Source organism: Homo sapiens, chromosome 11 (assembly GCF_000001405.40).
Source record: "Homo sapiens chromosome 11, GRCh38.p14 Primary Assembly".
NCBI classification, from domain to species: Eukaryota; Metazoa; Chordata; class Mammalia; order Primates; family Hominidae; genus Homo; species Homo sapiens.
Window position 1 is genome coordinate 119,981,171 of NC_000011.10, and position 26,496 is coordinate 120,007,666.

Sequence of the window (26,496 nt, forward strand, 5' to 3'; positions counted from 1 at the left end):
CACCCAAGACAACGTGTGTGTGTGAATTCCTTTACCTGGCACAGAGGAGACAGTGGAAAACCCGCTGATTTAAATTTTCTGACAAAGATTGTGAGATGTGGAAAGCAGCTTCTAGGAGAGAGCGGTGGAATCCCCCTCCTCAGGGGAACATTAAGAACAAATGGACCCTGATCTCCCAGGAAAGGCGTAGGGGGACTTGGGGCATCCTTCTTCGAGAGAAGGGAGAGAGGCTTGATTTTGCCACAGAGAACCACCTGTGCTAGGCGCACACGGCATGGAGCCAGTGCTGGGCTCTGGGTGTGTCATGGGGCCAGCATCTTGGGGCTTCTTACCATCTTTCATCACCTCTCCCATAACCTCCAGCAGGTACCAGGAAAGCCACGGGCCCCTCTCCTCCACATTCCTGGGAGGCCCCCATGAAACCCATCTGGGAAAGTGGAAAGGCTGTCAGCTTCCTTGTCCTGGTCCTCAGCTACAAGCCTGTTGAGACAGGAGTCTCAAACTCTTCCCCTTACCCATTCCACTTTCTGTGCCCCACCAGGCCTCCTTTGGTGGTAGCTTTCAGCACAGCCCAGGCTGCCACTTCTGGCTTCTTAGACTTGAGCTTTCTCCCCAGTCTCAGCTCAGTGCACTCCGAGATCTCAACCAGCAAACTCCTCACTCCCTCCTGGCCCCAAGGAGCTCCTCGTGGAAGGAGCTCTGGGGCTGCTGCCCCGTGGTGGGAACTGTAGATCCTATGAGCAGCCTCAGCCCTTCTTGAGGGTTCTTGGAAGCAGGTGAAACCCATTGCCAGGGAACAGCTGCTTTCACATCTCCAGGCCTCTGCCACAGACCACCAATCCCTTGCAAGGGAAGCCTCCCCACTCCCGGCTGCCTGTGAACCCACAGAACAGTGTGTGGTCCTGTTTGAGGGCACAAGTATACACACACCTTTGCAAGTTCCCTATGCTCCGGGAGCTTCCCAAGGTCAGGGCCACCATTTCTCTCTATTCCCTGCCCTTAATCCCCACCCTGCTATGCACACAGCATGACCAGCACACTGCGGGTAAAGATCTTCCCAGATACCCAGGGCCGGACACTTCACTGCATACTGGGTTTGAGCCTGCCATTTCTCGCTGTGTGGTCCTACTCTTGAGTAGGTCACTTAACTTCTCTGGGGCTCAGCTTCATCTTCTATAACTTGGGATGATAATAATAACAGTTCTGCTTACTTTAGGAGGACAGAAGTTTGGTATGGTGGCATTATGATGATGGTGTCCGTCATAATCCTTACTACTGACAGGCCCTGGGTCATGGCAGGGGGACTGCAAGGTGGTGGTGAGTGCATCTTCCTCATTCAAGCTCTCGCCTTGGATTTCTTCAGTCTCTGGCTTGAGGGCTGGAGGAGGAGGTGTCCAGGCTGTGCCTACCCCGGGGTCTCTGCATCCCACAATCCCCAAGTGCCTCTCTGTGATTGGCTGCTCAGCACAGCTCCCTGCAGGCTGGACAGGCTCTGGGTGGGAGCCGTGGGTGGATGGGTGCCAGGAGCCCACAGAGGGGGCTCCTGTGTGTGGGTTCATGGGACCGTGGGTGGCTGTGCAGGCAGAGGCTTCCATTGCTCCAAAATAGCTCGCAGTGGTGGTGGGGACAAACAGGTACGTGCAGCCCGGGCTGGGCTGCTGGTGAGTGTTGCCAGGGAAACCATGGCTGCAGGAGCCCCCAGCCCTTTGCCTCTTCGCCATGGAGACAGTGAGTTGGAGGCAGCAAGTCTGACGGAACAGGCAACCCCCACCACGGGCTTCAGGGAAACCACAGCGTCCACAGCGGCCCATCACTGGGGGGCGGGAGCAGCCTTGGGATCAGTTTTCCTATTACAAAACCATGTTCAAATGTCAATTCCTTCTCTCCTGCATGTGGGTTTCTCCCCCTCCATTTCATCAGTCCAGCCCCCTCCTCCCTCCTGTTCCTGGCTTGCATTTCACGTTAGCGCAACGCTGGTCTTTGAAGAATGAAATTTGGCAGCCATCGAGTGCCTAATATGACCTCATCCTATCTGGTGTTTTCAGGAAAGGGTGCCTCCCCAAAGGGGGTGGGGAAAGGCCCACAGGGCAAGTGGCAGGGAAACCCAGCTGTGATGCCTGTGGGTGCTCCAGAGTTAAAAGAGTCCTCCTGCTTATGTGCAGGGGCAGGGGCTCCTCTCCTCAGTCTGCCCCCAAGCCCAGCTCCCCACCATCTCTAGGGAAGACCACTAGCACAGGCCAATGCTGGTACTTTCCAGAAAACTCTTCAAAGTTCCCTCAGTACCAACACGTGGGCTCCCTTCCAGTCATTCTGGGGTGCTGGGAGGTCACTGGTTAAAAGCAGGCTGAGAGGGCGCTGTTGAGCCCACCTCACCGGTGGGGGCAGGTCTTCCCCACAGTGCCCGGGACACATGGCTGTCTTAGGAAGGACAGGCCTCCCCGTTTTCCTGTTCCAAAGCCTTTTCCAGGGCCCACCAGCCCTTCTCACTGCACCCCAAGTCCCCACTGTGGACATCCAGGCTTGTCAGAGAAGGGGAGAGGAGCTCAGCAGCTCTTCAAAATGCTCCCTGAGGCTGGCCAAGGAAGAGTGACCTGCCCCTTACACTGACCTTTTCCCATTTCCCAAGCTGTGCGATCTCATTGATCTAGAAATGCTAGTTCTTGTTTTGTCTGTTGACCAAGAGTCATTGGCTATTTCTCCAGATAAGTGGAGAGTTGAGAGCTATAGACCCTTAGAACTCACCAACTTGCAAGGACTGGTTCCTGCCATCATCATGCCCCAACCACCGCCTCCTCCATCCCTGCCTCCCGCCTCAGTTCAGCCCCTCATCGCACTAACATGGCCATGCCCCTTCCCCCGCCTACCCTGGGTACCAGGTTGTCGGCTAGCCCAGCCTACCCACTTGCCCCGCCCCACCCACCCTTGCCATCTGTCTGTCTGCCTGGCTGTCTGACTTGTCTCTTGCCTGTTTGATGTTCAAGCTATCGACTGTGACAATCATATCTGATCATTAATAATGCAATAACGGAATAGTGACTGGAGAGACACTTGGATAATCAGCTAGCACAGCCTCATTAGTGGCACAGAACAATCACAGCGATATAATAACAGATCCCAGGAAATTTCAATTAAACCTGGAACTTTGTTAGGGTTTCATTTTATTTTCAGCATGGCAATGGATAGCGTAATTGCAATCAACTAAAGCCAATGCAAATCTCTTCCAAAAGAGACCCCTTCCCCTGGGTATGCAAGGGAATTAAGTCTCACTCTTCTTTAGCTCCTGCCCATCTTAATTCTGAGCCATTTAATGAACTCCTTTTCTGCCCTGAAGAATGTTCCAACTGAGTCTCTGGCTTCACTTAACAACAGGATCATCCTGGCTTCTGGCCCTGTGTTAGAGATGAAGATGCTGAGAATTAGCCTGTACAGAGGGCTCAGTGTGTGCTGTTCACTGTGCTGGGCTCTTTACGTGGGTTATCTCATTTAAACCTCACTACCACTTAATGAGACAGTGATTAATATTATCATTATTGAACCAGCAAGGTCACCAAGTCTCAAAGAAGTTGAGAAACATCTTCTGGGCAACACCTCCTGCAAATATCATTGGTGCAGCCAGAATTAAACCAGACCTGCCCAAGTGTGAAGGCCATGACTGCTGCCTTCCTCTCACTCTCTCTCTTCTCTCCTGTGCTCCTCCTGTCTGTCTCTCTCTCACTCTCTCTTTCACTCTCTCCCCTCACCCCCCACCCTTGTCTGTTTCTTTTCTCTTTCTGATTAGGGACTGGATGAGCCTTGAGAATGCTGAAGGGGGATAGAGTAAACCGAGTCCTGTACAGCCCAGGCATCTCATGTCAGGACCTTGGTCTCCAGCCTAGGGTGGGCTGGTGGGGAGATTTTTAAAGAACAGCATCTCTGAATCTTGCCCCCAAATCAGACCACCTAATCAGAATCTCTGGGGATGGGGCCCAGTCAAATGTATTGTTTCAAGGCTCCCTAGGTTGTTTTAAAGCACACTGTGCATAAAACCTTGCCCAGAGCTTCTCTACTTTACTGAGGGGACATGGATAGCGGGGATCAGCCAAGCCCTGAGCTCCTGGCTCTGAGTGGGAAACTGAATCAAAGCCAGGCTCTTTCAGAAGCTGTCATTGGTGACTCCCCCCTCGGTGACCTGTGGTCGGGCTTCCATCTCTTCATTCCTGCAGTGAGGATCAGACTGGGCAGCCTTTGGCTCTGGAAGCCTGCAGCTTGAACAGCAGCTTCCCAGAATGGGCAGCACCTTGTCCCAGTTCCATGAACTGCTGGGGGAGATAATTCTGGGGCAGGAGTACCTTTTCAGATCCCCTTCAATCTCTGTTTCTCTAAAGTTAAATCACATTATTTCATTCTTGCCTCTAAATTGACTCATTTTCTTTACTTAAATGCTTTTTAAAACGGAATTTTACATCATTACCATATATAGAAAGCCTATCCCCTGTCACAAATGGAAAGTAGCCACAAAAATTGGACCATCTAAATCCATCTCCTCCGCCACCAGGGACGTGCAGAGCACGCTGGCTCCGAGCATCTCACCCAGTCAGCTCCTGCATTCCTCGAGCGCGAGCCTGACGGCGAATCATATCTGGTAGCGCGTAGGCCCACACCACTCACTCGGCAGGAGAGGTCCCTGGGAAGGTCTAAGCCTTGAGAGTGGAGCTGTTGTTTCCACCTTATTGCTGGGGGATGTTGGCCTTTTAGTAGGACTAAAGGTCTACGTTTGTAGCATTGCCCTCTGCAGAACCTCAGTTTTGGTACCTACAAAATGAGCGTCATGAAACTTAGGCACAACCTGGACTTCCCTGTGCTACGAGTTTGATTTCTACATTCTTAGCTCTTAACATTGCAGGGGGCAGTAGCAGAACTGACCTAAGGGAAGAAGAAAAATCAGGTGATTTTGTGGGGTGATTGGAGGGACTTTAGGAAGGTGTTTGTATGGCTGACCCTTGAACAATGCAGGGGTTAAGGGGCTGTGCTGACTCCCCGCCATGATCAAAAATCTGCGTATAATTTTGCCTTCCCCAGAACTTAACTACTAATAGCCTACTGTTGACCTGCATCCTTACTGAAAACATAAACAGTCAACTAACACATATTTTGTATGTTATATGTATTATATACTGTATTCTTATAATAAAGCAAGCTAGAGAAAAGAGAATGTTATTTGAAAATCATAAGGAGGAAAAAATATGTTTACTATTCATTATGTGGAAGTGGATCCTCATAAAGGTCTTTATCCTTGTCTTCTTCATGTTGAGTAGGCTGGTGGGCAAGAGGAGGGGTTGGCTGCTGCCTCATGGGTGGCAGAGGCTAAAGAAAATTCACATACAAGTGGACTCGCACAGTTCAAATCTGTGTTGTTCAAGGGTCAACTGTACTCGAAAACAGCATCCTCTACAAACTCACAGGAGATATCTGATCTGCCACCACTGACAATTTAAGAGTTCTGGGTTTCAGGACCTCTTAGCCTATTTGGGCCTTACTTCCTCATCTGCAAGCACTGGTTGCTATGAACTCTTGTTACACCTCAGCTGGATACTAAAGAAACATGTCCCAGACCTGTCCTCATAGAGCTCCACTCCAGCCACGTGGTAGACACATAAACAAAGGTATATACTGGGCAGGGCATGGTGGCTCATGCCTAGAATCCCAGTACTTTGGGAGGCCAAGGCAGGAGGATTACTTGAGCCCAGGAATTTGAGAGCAGCCTGGACAATATAGCGAGACCCCATCTCTACAAAAAATTAAAACAAAAAAAATTAGTGGGACATGGCAGCACGTGTCTATAGTTCCAGCTGAGATGGAAGGATCCTTTGGGCACAGGAGATCAAGGCTACAGTGAGCCATGATCATGCCACTGCACTCCAGTCTGGGCAACAGAACCAGACCCTATGTCAAAAAAACAAAACCCCCAGAGGTATATGTTACACTTTGCTCAATGCTCACTCCAACAGGGGCTGAGACCAAGGCAGACAGGCAGGAAGGAAGGGATTCAACACATGCTCCCTCCCTAAGCTCCCTTCTCTTGTCCTTCAATCCAAATAGTACCCATATTTGCCCAGCATAAAATGTTAGCACTTGGTCTTGTCTGTTTAGGTATACATTTTGAGTGGCAGGTTGTCTTCAGGTTAAGAGCATAGGCTTTGGGGCTGGCCCTGGCTTAAGATTTGTGTTACTCACAGAAAAGTATGAACCTATCACAGCTTCAGTTTCCTTATGTGCAAAATAGGGACCCTAAGAGAACTATGTGAGATGCTATCTTCAAAGTGCCCAGCAAAATACACTATGAAGTTAGCCCTCCAACTTGTAGTTGTTGATGTTTTTGTTTGTTTCCCTCTTTAGTAGAAATTTTAGGTTTGAAATGGGACACTCCTGGATACAAATGCTGGATCCATACCTTGCTATGTATTCAACCTTGGGCTTGACTTCTTTGAGCCTTCTGTTCTCATCTATAAAGAGGGGTCATCGTAGTGGCCTCTCAGACAAGCATACAAATGCAAGGTCCCTAATGCTGTCACCTCTATCCACTCTCTAGGTCTGTGGGAGAAGGCCACATGCCCCATCAGCACAAGGTGAGCCTAGACTGAAGGCTCAGGGTTCTCCAGCATGCTCCAAGGTCCACAGTGTTCCCATTCCCATTCACTCTGCCCCACACCCAGCCCAGAGCAGCCCTTTCTAGGTGCTCTTGTAAGCGTAATAGATCCCTTGCCCAATGTGCATGGCAAGTCAATACACCAAGTACATCAGGTTGCAGCAGAGAAAGAGGTTTAATGACAGGGCTTCCACACAAGGAAACGGGAGGAAGCCTCAAATCCATCTCCCAGAGGAGTTTGGAGCTTGGGATTTTAGGAGTTTTGGAGTGGGCCGAAGTGTGGAGATTGTTGATTGGTCGAGGAGTCCAGGGTGAAGTTCTGGGACAGGGAGATGAAGAAACTGTGTTCTCATACTGATTCCATTCCTCTGTGGGGGTCTTCAAACTTGTTAGTATCATCTGTTTCGCTGGAATTCAGGATCTGAGAAACATCTTAAGCAATTTTTAAACAGGAGCCTTATGATTCTAATGTCAAAGATCTTGTCTGTCTTAAAAGCCTTATAGCTCTAACATCAGAAATCCCATCTATAGGAACATTAGGGATGCAAACGGCCAGTATCTAGTCCTACAGTGTCTGTCAGTTACAAGGAAGTGGGTTAAAGTGCAGCCTGATTAATGCCTAATTATAGCCGTATTTCTGCCCAGAATTCTTGTTAACCCTGTGAGGACAGCTTTACTTTTGCTTTTTGATGATCACTTTCATTACCCTGAGCCCCACATCACTGAAATAACAGAATCCATCCTTTACTGCTAGATCAAGGCTGGCCACCCACTGTGGACAACATTGCCACTGACCATGACAGGGGCTTGTAGAGTCCAGGGAGGAGGAGGCAGCTTCGTCAGATGAGATCAGCATGAAAGGCTGTGGGAGGGAGGTGGAAAGAGAACGAATATGCTCTCCCTTCTCCTTTTCTCAATCCGATCCCATCTTTACTCATCTGAATGCTTGTCAGCTCCTGGAAACTCTTCCCGGGGCAGCCGCAGCACCGAGGAGAGACCAGAACTTCTCCTAGAAGACAGGTGTTTGAATTCTGTTTCTGCCATTGTCCAGCAAACTTGGACCTCCTGCCTCAGAGTCGCCTCACCTATAAGGGGGACAATGAAGTCTTTGTGAAGAATAAATGAGAAGTTTACAGATGTTCAGGCTTCTCTCCTTCTCATCCTCTTCCCTTATACCCACAGCTTCTCAGAAGCTGCAAGCTTTTTTACCTCCCACCTCTGAGCCCCCTCTGCCTCCCAAGCAAGCAAGGGTAGCCCTCATCGCTACCCATCTGCATGATGCAAAGCCCATATTTTCAAGTGCCATGAGCTCCTGAAACATCAAGACACTGACAATGAAATTAGCATGCCTCATCTGGGCCCAGGCCAGCGCAGGTCTGAAGGCCCCTTTCCTCGATGATTAGAGAAGGGGAAGATGGTTCCTGCCCAAGAAGGCTTACATCAAAGCAAATGAATGGACCTGATACCGACCTGAGAAAGACTCACCCCTCTGCCTTGCGCTCCTGGGCCAGCAGATGCCCCTCTCCTGACCCCACTAGAGTCACTGTTTCCCTTGCCTGGCATTTCTGGCCAGACATCGGCCAGTCCCGAGTCCACTTTGCTGCACCCCACACTTGATGCAAACAAGAGCCTGTTTGAAGCAAAAATCCTTCAGCAATTACCTGTAGAAATAGGATGGAGAGTGCTGGGAACGGAAAGAGGAATTTATTTATTTGTTCTCGATGCTTTGAGTTAGTTTTCAAATTGTCCTTCTGTAGATAAAGGCATCTCTCCAGCAGCTCAGCCCCAGATCGCAGCAGCTAATCTGCATCCGGTGGATCAAAATAGCCTCCAAACCAGATGGAGGCCCAGGCCACACCAGGAAACCAGAACCGGTCCTGAGTGCTGAGAGTGGGGATTTAAATAGACTCACGTGAAGCGTTTTTGGGATTTTCTGGGACAAAGGCGGGGACAACAGGGATTTCCAGGACTAGGAAGATGCAGGAGGGAAAAGAGAGGCCGACGTTTAGAAAGGGAAGAGAGTGCACTCTGGCACTTCCTCTATCATTTTCTTCAAAGCAGAAAGTGGGAACAATTTCCCAGGGGGTCAAGGTCTTCACATGTCTGCAGTGCTCAGAGGGCAGAACGAAGGTCTTGTATGTTTCCCAGAGATAAATGATGTTGTGGAAAAGGCATAGGCCCTGCAGCCAGACCGGGTTATGCATTACCCACGATAATGATGAGATAATTTGTTCCATTGAGCCTCAGCTTCCTGGTCTGCAAATTGGGATTATGATATTCACCTCCCAGGGTTTTGGTGAGGATTAAGACAAGAAATGTGAGGCACTCAGCCTACCCTATTCCTAGCACTTTCAGAACTAAACAAATGTTGGTTCCCTATCCCCACACCCCTTCCCAGCGGCCCTTCTTTGGGGAAGGGTGTTTTGGGGGCAGTAGTAGATCTCTGCCTAATTTAAGAGTAAGGGTTCAGTCTGAGTCTTTATACAGTCTCAACCCAAACTCCTCTCTCCACCTGCCTGTCCCATCCCTGGAGCTGCAGGGTGGTTTCAAGCTGAAAACTGGGATGCTTGCCTTCAGATGTAGGTCTGCTAGGGGAAAGAGGCCATGTCTGTTTTGCTCAGCATTGTGTCCCCAGGGTCAGGCACAGTGCCTGGCACCCAATCAGCACTCAGCAAACATCTGCTGATGGAATGACTGGGCAAGCGAGTGACTCCACCAACCCCTCCCTGTGATTGGAGGAGAAGAACGAAGTGTGGGCAAGAGCCCAGACTCTGACTGCAGCCAGCAATGAAGCTTTGGAGCAAGAGAAGTGACTGTTACTTTGCATTATAGGAACTGGGGAAAATGCTCCCACCCAGCAGCTTCCCCAGCCCCAGACCTGTCTGAGTCCCTGGTTTAGGGGTCACTCAGAAAAGACCACAAGCCAGCCTGCCCTGTCTCATCCTGTTTCCTCCATGTTAACCTGCTGTCTTCAGTGAAACCACAGGCCCTGCATGTTCAGGGGGCAGCTCTTCCACCTCTAGGGCCACCTCCACCTCACACACCCTGGGCACCCAGTGGGGAGGGATGAGGGGGCCGGTCAGCACCTGCAACCGTGGCTTGTTGCCAGGCCCGCTTGTCTCCTGGCCTCTAATAGTCCCCTGGAACGTTGCCCCTTCAGCTCTTCCTCTTAGTCCTCAGGATAAGGGAGTGAAAGAAGGAAGGAGTGGGGGTACTGTACACCTTTAATTTCCCTAAAAAGTCCTTGCATCTAAGTGCTCACATTCATGTGAGTTGGGGGGCAATGAGAGAGAACAAATGGGAAGTGAAGGCAGATCGGAGCTCAGGAGGAGAAAGTTCAGGTTCCGGGGCTGGGGGCAAGAGGAAAGCTGCATCCTCCCTCCTGGCACCGTCTCAGGTTACCCTCACCTGTGGAGGACAGACACTGTTGGCCTGAGACGCAGGGCCAACCCCATCCAGGTGTGCTCTGCTTTACCTCAGTCTCCAGATCAGGCAGAGGGAAGGGAAGTTGGAAAAACCAACAGCCTTGATTAGTGTAAATTTCATGTTCTACTTTGTGCTTCAGGGTCTGTATCACCCAAAATTTTTCCAATGAGTCACTTTGAAAAGCAAGAACAAAAATCTAGAGGAAATGCTCTGGTTGAAACAGGCTGCCTATCACACTTAATCTCTGAGTTGGGAATGGTTCTGACGATCAGATGTTAGTACGCAGCCTGGTAACGCTATGGTATGGGGTCTGCCTTCCTCACTGGAGTGGGAGCTCCTTGAGGGTGGGGTTAGAGGCTTAGGAAGCTCTGCATCTTCAGTGCCCAGCACAAGGCCTGGCAGGTATCTGGTGGGAGGGCAGGTAGGAAAATGGCAGGAGCAGGGTGGGAGCAGGTGCAGTATCCCCATATGGTTCCTGCGGGCCCTGGGGAGGGCCCCAAAGCCCAGTTCTTGGAGGGAGGGGACAAAAGGGCAGCCTGAGGTCTGCCCTTCCTGCTGCCCTGCCCAGGTCCAGCCTGAGCACTCCTGGCAGCAGGCTGCCCTCAAGGTCCCAGCATGGCCACCTGCTCACATGTTTATCCACCAGGCCAGTCCCCTGGGACAGCTGGGACTTAATGAACTGCCGAGTTGCTAAGGCTGCCTTTGATCCCAGCAGTTCAGCTGAGGAAATCGATACCCTTAATGGAGAAAATCTGGGTTGTGATGTAGAGATTTGGGATGGGCCATGTGACCATGTGACTGCCTGCCTACCTGCTGTGGAAAATGCTAAGTTGGCCCAGCAGGAGTCTGCACCTCCTAAGGCCCATCTCCCGGGACTGAGCCCTGCCTGGGAGCCAAGAAGGGCAGTCAGGATCTCAGGGCACTCCCAGGCCAGGACAGGGTTAGGGTCAGAGATCAGACAGAAATGCTAGAAAGGAGAGCCCATCAGTGCAGCCAGAAGGGTTTAAGGTGCACTGGGGAAGGGAGAGAGGACTGAAGAGAGGAAGACGGGAAGTGGCTGACTGGCAGCTAGAAAGCAAGGAAGAGCCACAGGGCGGACACTGACATTGAATGGCCCAGGGACAGGAGCAGCTAGTGACATTCAAGAACCAGTGAGCTTCAGCTCAGTGCTGTGGCTTCAGCAGATTCCACGCAGATGAGCAATGAACCCGGGAAGCCCACATGAAGCCAATGAGGAGTTGGAAACAGACGGAATTGCCGTAGGGGGCACGTTGGGTTCCTCGGGATCATCAGGGTGGAAAGACCCTGAGAGAAGGTGGTCGTGGCCGAGGGCATCCCCGCTTGGCCTGTCTTGCTCACTCTCCCAGTGCCTGGCTCACCACCCTCGGCTGATGCGTTCTGTCAAATATTCCCCCTCCCACGGCAGATCAGGTTATGAACTCAGTCAATACTTGCATCAGCACTGGCTGGCTCTGTTTCACCAGGCACTGTGTTCCTGTCTCGTGGGCTTAGTGTCTCCCCATTCCCTCCTCCCTGGCGCTCAGCATGGTGGTGACCAGATCTGCAATTAGCTCCGTGGTTCCACGGCACACCTAGCAGCAGGCTGTCTGCGTGGCTAGCCTCCTCCCCACAGGGCCCTCTCTATGGGGCACCGTCGGTTCCAGGCTCCTTGGAGGCCAACACAGTGTGGGCTTCTCAACGTAAGGCCTCCCTGTGGCTCGGGCTGGGGCACAGCTGCTCAGCACTCACAAGTCTCCTGGTTCCCAGGTTAGACCCAAAGAGCCCACACAGGGGAGGGAGCCTTGATTGCTGCATAGTGGAAGGAGCCCACACAGCCTGCGCTCTGGTCTTCTCTCTGCCTGACTCTTGCCCTGGCCTTGGCCTCCCAGGTCCTGGGTTTCCTTATCTAGAAAGTACAGGGTGATAATCCTTGTCCTGCTCACCTCACAGGACACAGTAGAAAACTTGAATGAGAACGCAGATGTGAAATACTCCCTCAGGTACCAGATATACCCAATGATTTGTTTCATATGGACACACTTTGCCTGGCTTCTTATTCAAATGGCACCACACAGGAGTTCCTTCCAGGCCCAGAATGACCCTGGATGCTTTGTGAGAGGCACCCTCTGACCTGGGGGCATTTATGGGGCAGGGTGGGGGAGAGCAAAGTCGCACTGTATCACAAACACAAAGAAATGTGTGAAATTGCTCTGAGGGTGGAGTTTGATGGCCCTAGTTTGGAAAAACAGATGCTCCAGTTCTGCAGTGAGTCCCCAGGATTGCAGGCACCAGGCCCCTGGTTGGAGGTTGGTGTCACAGCCAGGGGTGTAAGATGTAAAGACAGCCAGCGGGGGCTGGTAATGTGCTCAGTGTCCTTGGCCCTATTGGGCATAAGGTCGGAGAACAGGGTCCTTCTGTCTCTCCTCATGCCCTCAGATGATTGGGGCTAGCACCCTTATAGTCTATAGGTATCCTCAAGCCAGGGCCACAGTTCCAACCAGGAACACCCAGGTGGAGCCCCACCTGGTGCTTTGCAGGTGAGGCCAGCTCTCACACCTGGGAAAGGCGACGTGAGAGCTCAGTGTTCTGGCACACCCCTGACACCACCACCTGAACAAGTCTGGATATGCAAATGATCTCCTTCCTTCATGGTTTTGTCCTATTCTAATCCATAGCTCAGCCCTGGCTAATCAGCAGGAACCACTGCCCCCCTGTGGGGGCAGGGACAAGGCAGGTGTTCTGAGCTTGGGAGCCAGGGCCAGGGCAGGGCTCTGACGTTGGGAAGGGATGCCAGCCAAGGGGGTTCATGCCAATGGAACTTTGCAGAGGCAAGTCTTCGCAGGGCTATTTGCTCAAGAGCCTGGAACAAGCAGTCCCAGCCTCCTCCCCAACTCAAACCCAGGAAAGAGCTCCCTTGGGATTTCTAACCAATCCCCAACCTTTGTCCCTTCTAGGGACCTGGAGCCCAGGGCAAAGCAATGGCCAGGGAGCAGAGCGTCATACAGCACCCTCACAGCTGATGTCCCCATGGTGGCAAAGGCAGCCTCCATGGCTTCCATTTAACCTCTCTGGACCCTCAGCCCTAGCTATGGCCAAGGAATCTGCTTTTCCAATATTGCAAGGAGAAGGCAGCAGGGTTTGTGAAGATGCTGTTTTCCCACACTTAACCCCCAGAATCAGAATGGGCCCATGGCAAAAGTGGGGACAGAAACGTGGGAGTCATAGCCACACCAATGCTGGCAGGATCTTTTGGCTCATTCATGCACACCCACCATGTGCCCAAGAGCCCACGGCTGGCGGGGACAGGGCCAGACCCCAAAGAGAGCCCAGCATGTCTCTGGCCTTCTCCCCAGTGGAGGCCCCTCTTCCTACCTCTCCCTCGGGGTTCTGGGATGAGATCTACAAAGACTGAGGGGTCGAGGGCTAAGACAGACTCTCGACATGACTCTCAGAGGAGTGGAAAGCTCCTCTCCCATTCCTCCAAAACTGGTGACTGCGGCAAGACTAGCAGAGGAGCCAGCTGGAGCTGCCCAAGTCATACTCCCATTGCGTTGTGATGTCACAGAGGCCCGAGGAAACGCTGGCCTCCAGTCAGAACTAATCTGCTACTTAGAGCCTATAACCTTGCACAAGTTACAGAATCTCTCTAACCCTCAGTTTCCTTACCTGGAAAATGGGCATGCTATATCTACTACTCAGATTCATTGTGAGAACAAACAATAGCCCACATATAGAGCATGCAGCAAGGTGTGTGGCTCTTTATAGGCACCCACCACTGTTCTCTTTTCCTCTTTACTCCTCTCCTTTCCCTTTCTGGACTTCAGTCCAGAAATGCTCTCTATTGTGTCTATGACCACTATGTCCAATCACCAAGTCACTTTCAATATGTCTAGTGACACGATGGAGCAACACGCACACTCTGCACAACACTTCTTCACCATGTATACTCGCAAAGATGCACCAGGCATGCTGACTCTGCATCACAAAACAGAATTCCAGCCCTGGGTGACACGTGCCCTATGAATATAGTATTCATAGGTTTTCAGAAACAGTTCTGATCTATGCCTATTTGACATCCAAACTGTGACATTTTTAGAATGAAAATGTTGCCAGGACAACAAGTATAAACTAGGAATGTCCTGGAAATCCTATGAATACTCATTAGGACCTCGATCTCTTAGGGTAAAGAAGGCTTCTGTCTCTACACTCCTACCTGGGATGTTTACAGTCCTTGGGCCTCTGCTCTGGGAAGACTCCTGAGCCACCAGGCCAGGTTCCCTGCTCCAACTTGGATCAACCCAACGCCTAATGCTTCCTTCCCTCTTTACAAGGGACTGCTGCCTCCACTTCACCTATTTGCTTCTCTGTCTCTCACACTCACCACGAGCAACCTGAGGATGGGGGTCCCCATACCTAACACTGCCTGGCTTATAGTAGATGCTCAAAAATGTGCATATGAGCCGAGATCATGCCACTGCCCTGCAGCCTGGGTGACAGAGCAAGACTTTGTCTCAAAAAAGAAAAAAACTGTGCATGGGGAGAAAAAACAGATAAATGCCCCACTTAGGAGAGGAAAACTAGGCAGAGAGTAGGGGGTTAATGCAGCTCCTGGTGGAAGCTGGAAGAAGTCAGCCCAGCTAAAAGAAGAGGGCTGTTGTTTGCTACCAGGCAAGCCAGAGCAGGCTTCTTCTGCCCCCTCCACTCCATCCCCCATGCACACGTGTCTGCAAATGGCACCTGGTGGTTGGCCAGGGAGATGACATCTTCATGCCCACAGGTGACGGGCCGAGAGGACAGTTAGTGCTTTGTTGAAAAGCTTTCAGAGTCGGAGTCTCTGCTCTCAGAAGTAGGAAGACAATTCAGAACCCTGCTGTGGCCTCTCCCTTCTTCCCCTCTCTGGCTAGCCCCCTCTCAAGACAGGGACCACCCCAGCCATGGCATCCAGAGTGGGTTCCCTGTGCACTCAAGCCAGTTGCCTGGGTGCCATCACTTGTCACTTGACAATAGAGAAGGATGTTTCTCTATTTTCCAGCTCAGATGAGCTTTCGAAGATGCTATCTGGCTGTGATATAAATCCATTGAGAAAGCCCTGGAGGGAGCCCCTGCAAAGCCCTAAATTGGACACTAAAAACAGATAAAAGCCAATGGTTTAAAGGCTTTACGTGAGCTCCATTTGGGGGAAGAAATGAAAACAGGGATTTAGTTTGTCCTCTCCCACCAACACACTTTGGGCAGCTGTGGCCTGAGATTTTAGATATTTGGTGTCCCTGATGCATGGACCTGAGTGGCTGATGAGCCAGCACTAACGGGGAGAGCCTAGAGCTAAGACAGCCCCGAAGGGGCCCTGCTCTCCTTCCCTCTCCCCCACCACCATCCTGCAACCCTGCCCTGATGGCCAAGTGCAGGACTCAGCACTTGAACGACTGAAGGAATAAATCCCAGCCCTGCCCAGCCCAACAGCAACTCCAGGGTTACCCAGGCCCATGTTAGTGGCATTTCCTTAGGGTGAGCAGGTCAAGCCCTCCTTGCTGCTTCTGCAATCCAAGGCCCTGGTTTCCCTCGACTCAGTTGGTGGGGTGGCACGTTAACCAACAGGACATTGTGGCTGCCTGGACATTGCGGCTGCCTGGACATTGCCTTCATACTTCTCTTTCTTGGCCAGTGCCCTGCAGCCAGAAAACTTGGTATTTGGGAAGATGGAGAGGCTAAAATGAAAATTATAGGAGCATTTTCACCCAACACACAGCAAGCAGGGCTATCTGGAGTGTCCAGGGACAGGACACATGGCAATCCTGTAGCCCCTCTTTGGGATAAATAATAAATGTCCAGCCGTTCCGATCAGAAGGCTAGGCCATCACTTTCTCAAAATATTGCCATGGGGTACAAAGGGTAATGCAATCTATACTAACTCAATTGTTCTCAACCTACACATTAGTGTTACCCAGGAACCTTTTTAAAATTCCAATGTCTGGGCCACACCCCAGACCAATTAAAACAGAATCTCAGCGGTGAGGCTCAGGCATCAGCATTTTTCAAATTGCTTCTCTCATTTTTCAAGTGATTCCACTGTGCAACCAAGGCGGAACCACTGTTCTAGTTGGCTAAACCTATTAAAGAAAATATGGAGGCTGGGGGCTAAGGGTTCTCATTCTTCTCAAGTCTCTTATTCCTACTCTTTAATTTGGACCTGAAGTGTCAGGGCCTGGAGGGATGATCAGCAATGAAGGTCAAGTTAAGAATGACATCCTTTCCTTCCTGCTAGGCATAGTGAACCTGACCCTGGCGTGGTCTGCCTCAGCATTTGCAGGATATGAAAGCAGCCCACTGGAGCCTGGGGTCAGATCTGGGAGGGATGTTGGAAGCATATAGGCCAACCATACCTCCCATTTTACATGTGAAGACACAAAGGAAAGTGAGGGTGTGACCTAACTAGGGTCACTGAGCATGTGTCTGAGTCCTGGGCTCTGTACTTTATGCAGTAGTGCCTATCTGGGGACTTCCAGCTCTGTGGGACTTCTGGCTTATCTACTGAATGATGGAGACCCAGGACAGTGAACCTTTTGACTTCCAGTAACCCCTCCATGAATGCGTTCCCAAAACAGAGAGGAAGGGAGACGTCATCGTAGCACCATGTTGAATGGGGCTGGTCTGGAATCTCAGCTTTGCCATTAAGAAGCTCTATGGCCTTGAAGACCATCAGCCTCTCTGTGAGCTTCCATTCTATTCATTTATAAGACAGGGAAACTATTAACTTCACACAAGGGTATTAGGCAATGGTTAAATAAAATGAAGTGTGTAAAGTACTGGACCATACTAAGTGTTTACCCAAAGTTACTTTCCATCCCTCCCTTCACTCCTCCTTTCCTAGCATCAAGATGATACTTCTTATGGCAGGATCATGGCCCTCAGCCCCTGGAAGCTCTGCTGACCTGGGCCTAGTATGGAAAGTATGTCCCCAAAATAGATAAGATGGTGCTTAGGGACCGTATTAGTTTGTTCTCACACCGCTATAAAGAAATACCTGAGACTGGGTAATTTATAAAGAAAAGAGGTTGAATTGGCTCATGGTTTCACAGGCTGTATAGCAGGCATGGCTGGGGAGGCCTCAGGAAACATATAATCACTGGGGAAGGTGAAGAGGAAGCAGGCATGTCTAACCAAAGCTGGAAGAAGAGAGAGAGGGGAAGATGCTACAAACTTTTAAACAACCAGATCTCACGATCACGCACTCACTATCATAAGAACAGCACCAAAGGGGAAATTTTGCCCCCATGATGCAATCACCTCCCACAAGGGCCCACCTCCAATAATGGGGGTTATCTTTGACATGAGATTTGGGCGGGGACACAGACCCAAACCATATCAGGGACCTTAATCTTTCCCTAAGAGAATCCCTTGGGTTATAGTAGAAAGGGTGGGTTAGGGTCTTTTGGGTTTCATAGGAACATTCTCAGGAGGCCAAACGTCTGAGCAGAAGATTCAGAGTTCCTGTCTGGCCTCTCCAGCTCCAGATGGGGCATCCCTCATGGCCCCTGGCCTAACTGGCCTGGATTTTTTTTTTTCTTTCTTTTTTTTTTTTGAGATGGAGTTTCACTCTTTTTACCCAGGCTGGAGTGCAATGGTGCGATCTCGGCTCACTGCACCCTCCACCTCCTGGGTTCAAGTGATTCTCCTGCCTCAGCCTCCTGAGTAACTAGGATTACAGGCACACGCCACCACTCCCAGCTAATTTTGTATTTTCAGTAGAGACGGGGTTTCACCATGTTGGCCAGGTTGGTCTTGAACTCCTGACCTCCAGTAATCCACCCGCTTCGGCCTCCCAAAATGGTGGGACTATAGGCATGAGCCACCACGTGCGGCCTGGCCTGGATTTAAGTGAAATAATTAACTAATCCTTCAACAAGTACCAATTGAGTACCTACTTTGTGCCAGGAATAAATGGATGGCAAGACAGACGTGGTCCCTGCTTTCTTGGAGCTTCTAGGTAAAGGCAGACTTTAGACAAGAAATCTTAGCTCAGTGGATGATTTCATCAAATTTTTTGTCTCCTCCAAATTCATGTTAAAATCCTAATCCCCAAGACAATGGCACTAGGAGGTGTGACCTTTGAGGAGGTGTGACCTTTGGGGAGGTGATTAGGCCATGAGGGCAAAGCCCTCCTAAATGGGATTAGAGCCCTTAGAAAAGAGGCCCCAAGGAGCTGCCTTCCCCTTTCCTACCACGTGAGGTCACCGTGAGAAGGTGCCATCTATGAACCAGGAAATAGGTCTTCACCAGACATGGAATCTGCCAGCATATTGATCTTGGACTTCCCAGTCTCCTGACCTGTGAGAAATAAATTTATGTTGTTTATAAGTCACCTAGTCTGTGACACTTTTGTATAGTGACCCAAATGGACTAAGGTAAAAATTGGTAGCTAGAAGTGGGGGTGCTGCTCTATATAACCAGTACCTCAGTGGGAAGGTGACTTTGGAACTGGATAATGGGTAGATATGGAAGAGTTTTGAGGTGCGTGCTGGCAAAATCCTACAGTATCATGAATAGATTGTAAAGGAGGATGCTGGTGAGAGCTCAAAAAAGGAGACTGGTAGAGAAAGTTTCAGTCCTCTTAGAGATTATCTAAGTGGCCACGAACAGAATGTTGGTGGAAATATGGACTGCAAAGGCCGTTCTGATGAGGCCTTAGACAGAAATGAGGACTGTATTATTGGATACTGAAGGAAAGGCAGTTCTGGTTATAAAGTGGCAAAGAACTTGGCTGAATTGTGTTCATGTCCTAGTGTTTTGTGGAAGGTAGAACTTACGAGCAATGACATAGCATATTTGGCTGAATAAATGTCTACAAAGTACTGAAGCCATGGCTTGGCTTCTCTTGAATGCTTATATAGTAAAATGCAAAATGCAAGCAGAGAGAAACAAATTAAAGATGGAATTTTTAATTAAAAAGGAAGCAGAACTTAAAAGATTTGAAAAAAAATCCAAACAGCTTTGGAATACAGAGATAATCTCTCTCCAGAGCAAAAGGAAAACTAGTTAAGTGTCCAATGTAATGAAGATAATGTCTCCTTCTGAGGCAAAAGGCAAGGGTCAGGCTGGCTTTCTTCCCATTATAAAAGATTCAGGTTCCCTAAGCTCGGAATTCCCCACTAGATGCACGGGCATCACCTGGCCATCTTCCAGTCACCCCGTAGGAAGTGGAGCTTGGGGAACTGCACCAAAGTTGAGACTCTGGCTGCTGCTATTGCTGTAAGTAATGAAGTCCTTTGTCTCTGACCCAGGAGTTTCATGTATTCTGTCAGCATCCATGTAACTATGGCATGCTAATCTATTAGTGTGTGAGTAGGGTAAAATACCAGACCCTTCACAGTTCTTAACACCCTCCATCCTATTATACTTCTTGCCTCCTTCAGTGGCCTTCCCTCCCCTATACACAAAACTCCATCAGCCCAGCCTCTCTACAGGGCTTCGCAATAGTATCACCTGCATCCATATTCCATGTTCACCTGCAGGTGGGTTTTCTCTCTCAGCCTTCCATCCCCAGGAATCCCGTGCACAGAAGGCAACACCGTTTTCATAATCCCACCCGGGCTTGGGTTTTTTTTTTTTTTACCAATCATTAGGTACTTTTGCATCCATCATTGTCATTGATCTTCTCGACAGTGCTGTCAGGGAGGGGTGACACAGTCCCCATTTGAGGGCCAGGGAAACTGAGATGTTCAGACATGGAGACTCATTAGCAGAACAGGACTAACTCCACATCCCGTGCTCTTTTCTCCATGCCACAGTTGCTGCTCATTTTCATGTTTTAATGTCAACCTGACCCATGCATGATTAGGTAGGTAAGGCCTGATAGAAGTAAAATAAAAATCCTACAAGGCTAAAGAGAGCTGGTTCAGAATTACATTAGCATTCATAATCAAGAGCTGCCTGCACATTTAAACATTTCCAGGCCCATCTCTTTCCCAAGGCTGGGAACTGAGCTTGAGCTTTTTCTGCAGCCCTTAAATAGGGGTATGGTTGTAGGTGGGGGAGTCCCTTTTAACAGTCCAGGAGAAGGGGCAGTGCTTCCCGGGTGGTGGTGGGAAGGCTGCAGGCTTACTCCAGGCAGCCTGGTTTGTTTTGAATTGTAGATTGCCTGGTTTGATTGGAAAGTCAGAAGTCTAGCCAGGCCCCCTGCAGACCTATTTATGTGGAATTGGTCTCCTCTCTGAGATGAAATAAGCGTCAGAGACTGCCCTGCCTGCCTGACACAGCCCTTGGTGTTGTCAAAGCAGGTGCCAACCTCAAGCTAAGGCTGAACATTTCAGGAGCGCTGGAACCCTGAACAACTACCCATCGCCAGCCCCCGCCACCTGCCCTGTGTGCTCTCTGAATTTCCTTTTCCTGCTTCCTGTCTGCATTGAGCCACATGAAACTTTTAGCATCTGCCTCCTCCTCAGCTCCTGTGAAGTCCCGTTCATTCTTTCTCCTCTACAACTTCCGTTTCATCTCTAAATGATCCAATATTAATGTTCTCATCATTACAGTGTTCGGAGGAAAAGAACTGATTTTGTCCACAGAGAGAGGGAGTTGAGAAATTAATATAATATTTGTTCAGGATTGATTTCAAGCTGTAATCCCTGCTGCCAGAGAGACCCATCTGTTTAAAACTATCAGACACTAATTACCCAGAGCGCGAACACAATAGCAGGATTGAGGAGCCACGTCCTGATCCGCCCCCACACACTTGTAATTTAGCATTGTTATTTATTAGGGAGAAAAAGATCTCTTAGTGAAGACGGATCTCCCGTCCACTTGACTGGCAGAGGCTCCTGGAGGACTGAGCATAGCAGGGAAGAAGCCCCCAGACTTTCTTCATCAAAGAATACCAGGAATTACATTCATCTAGCTATAAAAGGCAAATTCATCCTAATTCCTCCCCCCTCCCCTCTCCGACTCAGTCTGGACTCCCCACCAAACCAGCTCTTTGATGACAGTAAAGATACCACCATCCTCTGGGTAAACCAGGATTGAAAGCACCAGTTCATCTTTGAGTGTTCCCTTTCCCTCATCCTCCTAAGTAATTAGATGCCAGGTCCTACGAAGTTTGTTTCCACCACATCTCTCACACCTGACTCAGCTCCTTTGTTTTCAAGACTAACACCCAAGTACTTGAACAATAGTCCAGGTGATGGACGTCCAACTCCAGCCTCTGTTCCCTTCCAGTCTAGGTTATGCTCCATTGCTACCATGAATCCTCCCACCAAAAAAGATGGTGTGGGGGAGGTGAAGGGGGAGGAGAAGAGAAGAAGCAGCAGCAGCATAGCTGATCAAGTCTTTTACCTGTTCAAAAATCCTCAGTGGCTTTCCCTGGCCACCAAATAATTGGATATTTAATACCCTCCAAGCTCTGGCCTCAAGGCATTTTAAGCCATCCTTCTAGCTAGTCTTTTCATTCTGTAAATGTATAATCTGGGCAAAGTGGACTGCTCTCGCCTCCATATTCACTACAGAGTTTCTTGCACCAGCCTTAATGTTGTTTATTCTTACCACAGGAAAAGGCTGGCCCAGCTCCCTTCACTTTTCCTTCTCAAAACCCTTCCTCATCCACAGCCAGATCACTCTCCTTCCTCCTTCAATCAACTGTAGTGTTTTATTTGGGCCATGCTTTACAGCACCTATAATTTGCCTAATATCATCCTATTGGCCCTAACAGACTTGAAAGCTCCAACATTTCTGGAACTCTTGTTGTATACCAGACAGTGTGCAAAGCACTGGGAATGGTAGTTGACAAAATAGACATGGTGCCTTCTTTTATGAAGTGTACAGTCTGGTGGGAAGACAGACGAATTAAAAATTAATTTAGCATTTATGAGAGCACAAACTACTGCAAAGGAGGAGTTCAGGGTGCTGACAGGGAGACATAACTAGACTGGGGCTAGGAATGTTTCCATGAAGAAGCAATGTTTAGCTGGGTGCAGTGGCTCATGCTTGTAATCCCAGCACTTTGGGAGGCCAAGGCAGGAGGATCACTTGAGCCCAGGAGTTCAAGACCAGCCTGGGCAACATAGCAAGACTCCTACCTCAAAAAAGAATAAATGTTCAGGGAAGGGATTATTTAGACAAAGAGAAAAGAGAATATTTTAGTTTTTATTTTATATCTGGAAGAAAACAATGTGTATTAAGGCAACTCTGAGATCATACATGGGTTCTACAAAGGTTTGCCTTTGATAAAAGCATAAAGGATGGATACTATGGGCAGGGGTTAAAAGGGAGGATGGGAGCTGGTGGGGGGCAATTCATCTGGAAGCTGATAAATCAGTAGTCAGGAGGCTATTGCAAGAGTTTAAATTTGGGGAAATAATGACCTAAACTAGGCTCGAGAGGAGAGGCTGGATTAAGAGATGTTGAGGAAAGAGAATCACCAGAACTTAATTTCCAATTGGCTGTTGGTGGAAAAAGAGTAAAAAGTCCAGGATGCCTCTCAGTTTTCTGGGTTCTGGGTAGATGGTTGTTCCCTAAACTGGAGAGGAAATTTCAGGAGCAAAAGCAAATTGGAGGTAGGGCAGAAAAGAAACTCCATTTTGGATATAATGTGTCTGAGTTACTGGTGAGATATTGGAGGAAACCTTCCAGCCCTTTCAGAGGACCTACCATGGTGTTATGTGTAACAGTTTTATTGAGGTATGATTGGCATACAATAAACTGCACATATTTAAAATGTATAGTTTGATAAGATTTGACATTTATATACACCTGTGAAACTATCACCACAACCAAAATAGTGAACATCATCACCACCCCTAAAAAGTTGCCCTCTTCTCCACTGGTGCCATCCCTCCCACCCCTCCCAACCCCTCCTCTGCTGGCAACCACTGATCTGTTGTCTGCCACTATAGATCACTTTGTGTTTCCTAGAGTTTCATATAAATGAAAACATATGGTTCATTTGTATCTTTTATAGTACATATGTGTCTTTTGTGTGTGGTTTCTTTCACTCAGCATAGTTATTTTGAGATTCATCAGTGTTACTGCATGTTTTATTAATTCCTTTTTATTAATGTATGGTGTTCTATTGATTGCATATACCATAATTTATTCATCTATTCACCTATTTTGGGCTGTTTTCACATTTGGACTATTAAAATTATGCTGCTGTGAGCATCCTTCTACAAGTCTTTCACCTGATGAAAAACCCTGTTTCCCTTTCTCTTTGGTAAATAAATACCTAGAGTGGAATGACTGAATCATATATATCATGGCTACAATACTGTAATGCAATTCTAGCACTAACTACTTGACGCAGACTCCATAGACTAAGGGTTCAGTCCCCATCAAGACTGCCTTCACTTCAGATGCCAACTGCAAGCTTAGGGATCCCCAGGCCACCTGCACTTCTCACCAACTGGCTACAAATTCAGGAGTTCCCCCAACCTCCTCGGGTTTTAGGATTCACTAGGTTGAGTCACAGAGCTCTGGAAAGCAGCATACTTAAAATCACAGTTTCCTTATGAAAGATGCAAATCAGGACCAGCCAAAGGAAGAGACACACAGGGCAAATGCAAACTTCCATGTCCTTTCCTCATGGAATCAGGACACATCACCAACACACTGATGTGTTCACCAACCAGGAAGCTCCACTGAGTTTTGGCGCCCAGAGTTTTTGCTGGGGTTTCATTACATAGGCATGATTGATTGAATCATTGACCATGTGACTGAAATTAATCTCAGCTCCCCTGCCTGGAGGAGGTCAAGCTGATATCACCTGGCTGAAAGCTCCAACCCTGTAAACACACAGTTGGCCTTTCTGGCATGACCAGCCTCATCTTGAGTCATCTCCTTAGCAGAAACTCAGGTGTGTTCCAAGGGCCCACACGAATAACAAAGACACTTCTATCACTCAGGAAATCGCAAGGGTTTCGAAGCTTATTCCCGGGGACCAAGAGTCAGTTAAATTCTTTATTATACAACAAAGGCGTCCCACGTTTAATAAATCTTGGCTAGATATATTAATGACTAAATTAATAAATGAACACATACGTGAATGACCTGGAATAACTTTTCAGTTGCATAGGACTAAAAACCAGCTCAAACCAATTAAGAAAATGTTGGCTTACACAGTGCGGAAAAAAACTAAGTGTTTGGAGAGTCAAGAAAGACCTTCAGGTATTCAATAACCAGGAGCTATAACTAGGACTTGAGACCATCAGAAATTGATTTCTCATCTCATTTCTGTTTGTTTCTCTGCTTCACCTGCAGAAGGGCTGTTTTTCTCCTCCCTTGTGACAGGGAACATGGCTTTCAACTCAATTCATAGATTTGTGTTCTCTTAGCATTAATATATATTTCAGGGAAAACTCTAGTTGGCCTTATTTGGATCATGTGCTCGGTTCTTGGACCAATCACTGTCCCAAGGGAGGGGAGGACTGTCCAGGCCTGGGTCACATGCCTGTCTCTGTGGTCTGATGTTGTGATTGACAGGCCAAATAGAACGCTGGGGACTGGTGGATCCTCAGTGGAAAAAACGATGAACAGATAAATATGAGATACCTGCTACACTTTATGTCTACATAGTTTTTAGAATGTAGGAAGGGTTTTCCACATATATTATCTTGTGTAATCCTCACAGTAACCCTGTAAAGTAGGGTTGCATTTCACAGATGAGAAAACAAGGCTTGGTGAGATCAAAGGTTCAACTAAAACATGTTAGAAATGACTAGGACTTGGTCTTGTAACTATGAGTTCAGGAAAATATGTATCTAGTTTATACTTCAGAGTCTAGGCAAAGGCTTTTCATATTCTGTCATCAACTGTTCATTCACAACAAACAAAGCAGTGTTGCTGCCCTAGCGGAGCTGACATTCCAGTGGGGAAAATGGATATTGATAAAATGATTTTAGCTAGCAGCATGCGTTAGGCCATTCTTGCATTGCTATAAAGAAATACCTGAGGCTGAATAATTTATAAGGAAAAGAGGTTTATTTGGCTCATGGTTCTGCAGGCTGTACATCATGGTGCCAGCATCTGTCTAGCTTCTGGGGAGGCCTCAGGGAGCTTTCAATCATGGTGAAAGGCAAAGGGGGACCCCATGTATCACATGGAGGACAGTGGGAGCAAGGGGATTCAGGGAGGTACCACACTCTTGTAAACAACCAGATCTCACAGGACAGCACCAAGCCATGAGAGATCTGCCCCCCACGACCCAAACACCTCCCACCAGGCCCCACCTCCTACACTGAGGATCACATTTCAACATGAGATTTGGGTGGGACAAACATCCAAACCATATCACAGTGCTATGAAGAAAATAAAACAGGTCAGTAGGATTGAGGACACCGTGGGTATGTAATCAGGGAAGGCCTCTCAGGGAAGAGGTCGTTGGTAAAGATAGCTGAATGAACACCACGCAGCCATTTCTCTTTGAGCTGCAGCTTGAGAATGCGGACTCCGCTCTTCAGCAACGATGCCAGCAGGTAACAACCACCCCGCCCAGAACACCCTCCCTAGCCTTGGGAGCTGTCTTTCTAACTCCTCAATGATGGGTCTGCCAGGTCTGAATGTGAAGGAACAACCCAAATTGCAGCTTGAATTATTGAAATTTAACCAAGGGTGATATTTCAGACTCTTCTGACAAGAAAATCACGGATTCTCTTTGGCAGTAGAAACTATTTCTGCCTGGCTATGGTGGCCTATCAAGAGCCTTGTGTGGTCTTTCCAGGGGTAGAAGGGTGAACTAACCAGGGTCTGTTCCAGCTCTTACCTTTGAAGCTATGATGAAAACCAAGCTCATTCCTGGCTTTTGATACAAAGGAAAAGTAAAGAAAGCAGAATCACCATTCCTTTGGGAAGCCGGCCCTGTCTCCATGGTAGTCAGGAAGTTTGTGATATGTCCACGTCAAACCAATGACTCCTCTGGGAAAGTATCAAATTAAGACCTTTCCATAGAAAAGCATAATGCTATTGATTAAAGAGCAAACACCAAAATCAGAACTCCCCTGGCCCCATAGTTGGATGGATTTATGTTCTCCTTGTCTCTAAAACTTGAGCTAGAACACAGTTGGTACCCCTGGGAATTTGAGACTCAGAAAATAAGCAGAGCCCTTTCCTGGAAGATTTCTGCATCAGCCTCAGTGAGGGGTGGACGGCTTGCCTGACTCCAGATATAAATGACGTGGGCTTTCTGTGTGGCCTGACGCCCCCAGTTTTTACGAATAGCAGCTAATGTCACATGCAAGACACCCAGAGCACAGAGCTGGGTATGTTGAAGACATTTATCACCTGATTGAAAGAATTAATGACATATTTTGTAATTTCATAAACCTTTCACACATGGATCTCTTTGCATTGAGGTAAACACGATGAAAAGTGATTGAAATTGACTTGCTGCCCTAAACTATTTTAGGGGAGGAAAAAACATCTTTTCCTTCTATCCTCCTGATATGGTTTGGCTGTGTCCCCACCCAAAT

The 26,496-nt window shown here is 48.6% G+C and overlaps 1 long non-coding RNA gene across 1 annotated transcript; it reads right to left on the reverse strand.

Annotated features, from left to right (window-relative positions):
- Window positions 1–6,781: 6,781 nt before the first annotated feature.
- LINC02744 (long intergenic non-protein coding RNA 2744) lies at window positions 6,782–13,560 on the reverse strand. Its single transcript, NR_183635.1, has 4 exons — window positions 13,424–13,560; window positions 8,111–8,286; window positions 7,421–7,710; window positions 6,782–7,057 (listed from the first exon to the last, which is right to left on the reverse strand). It is a non-coding gene; the product is annotated as a long intergenic non-protein coding RNA 2744 (long non-coding RNA).
- Between the last annotated feature and the right edge of the window lie 12,936 nt (window positions 13,561–26,496).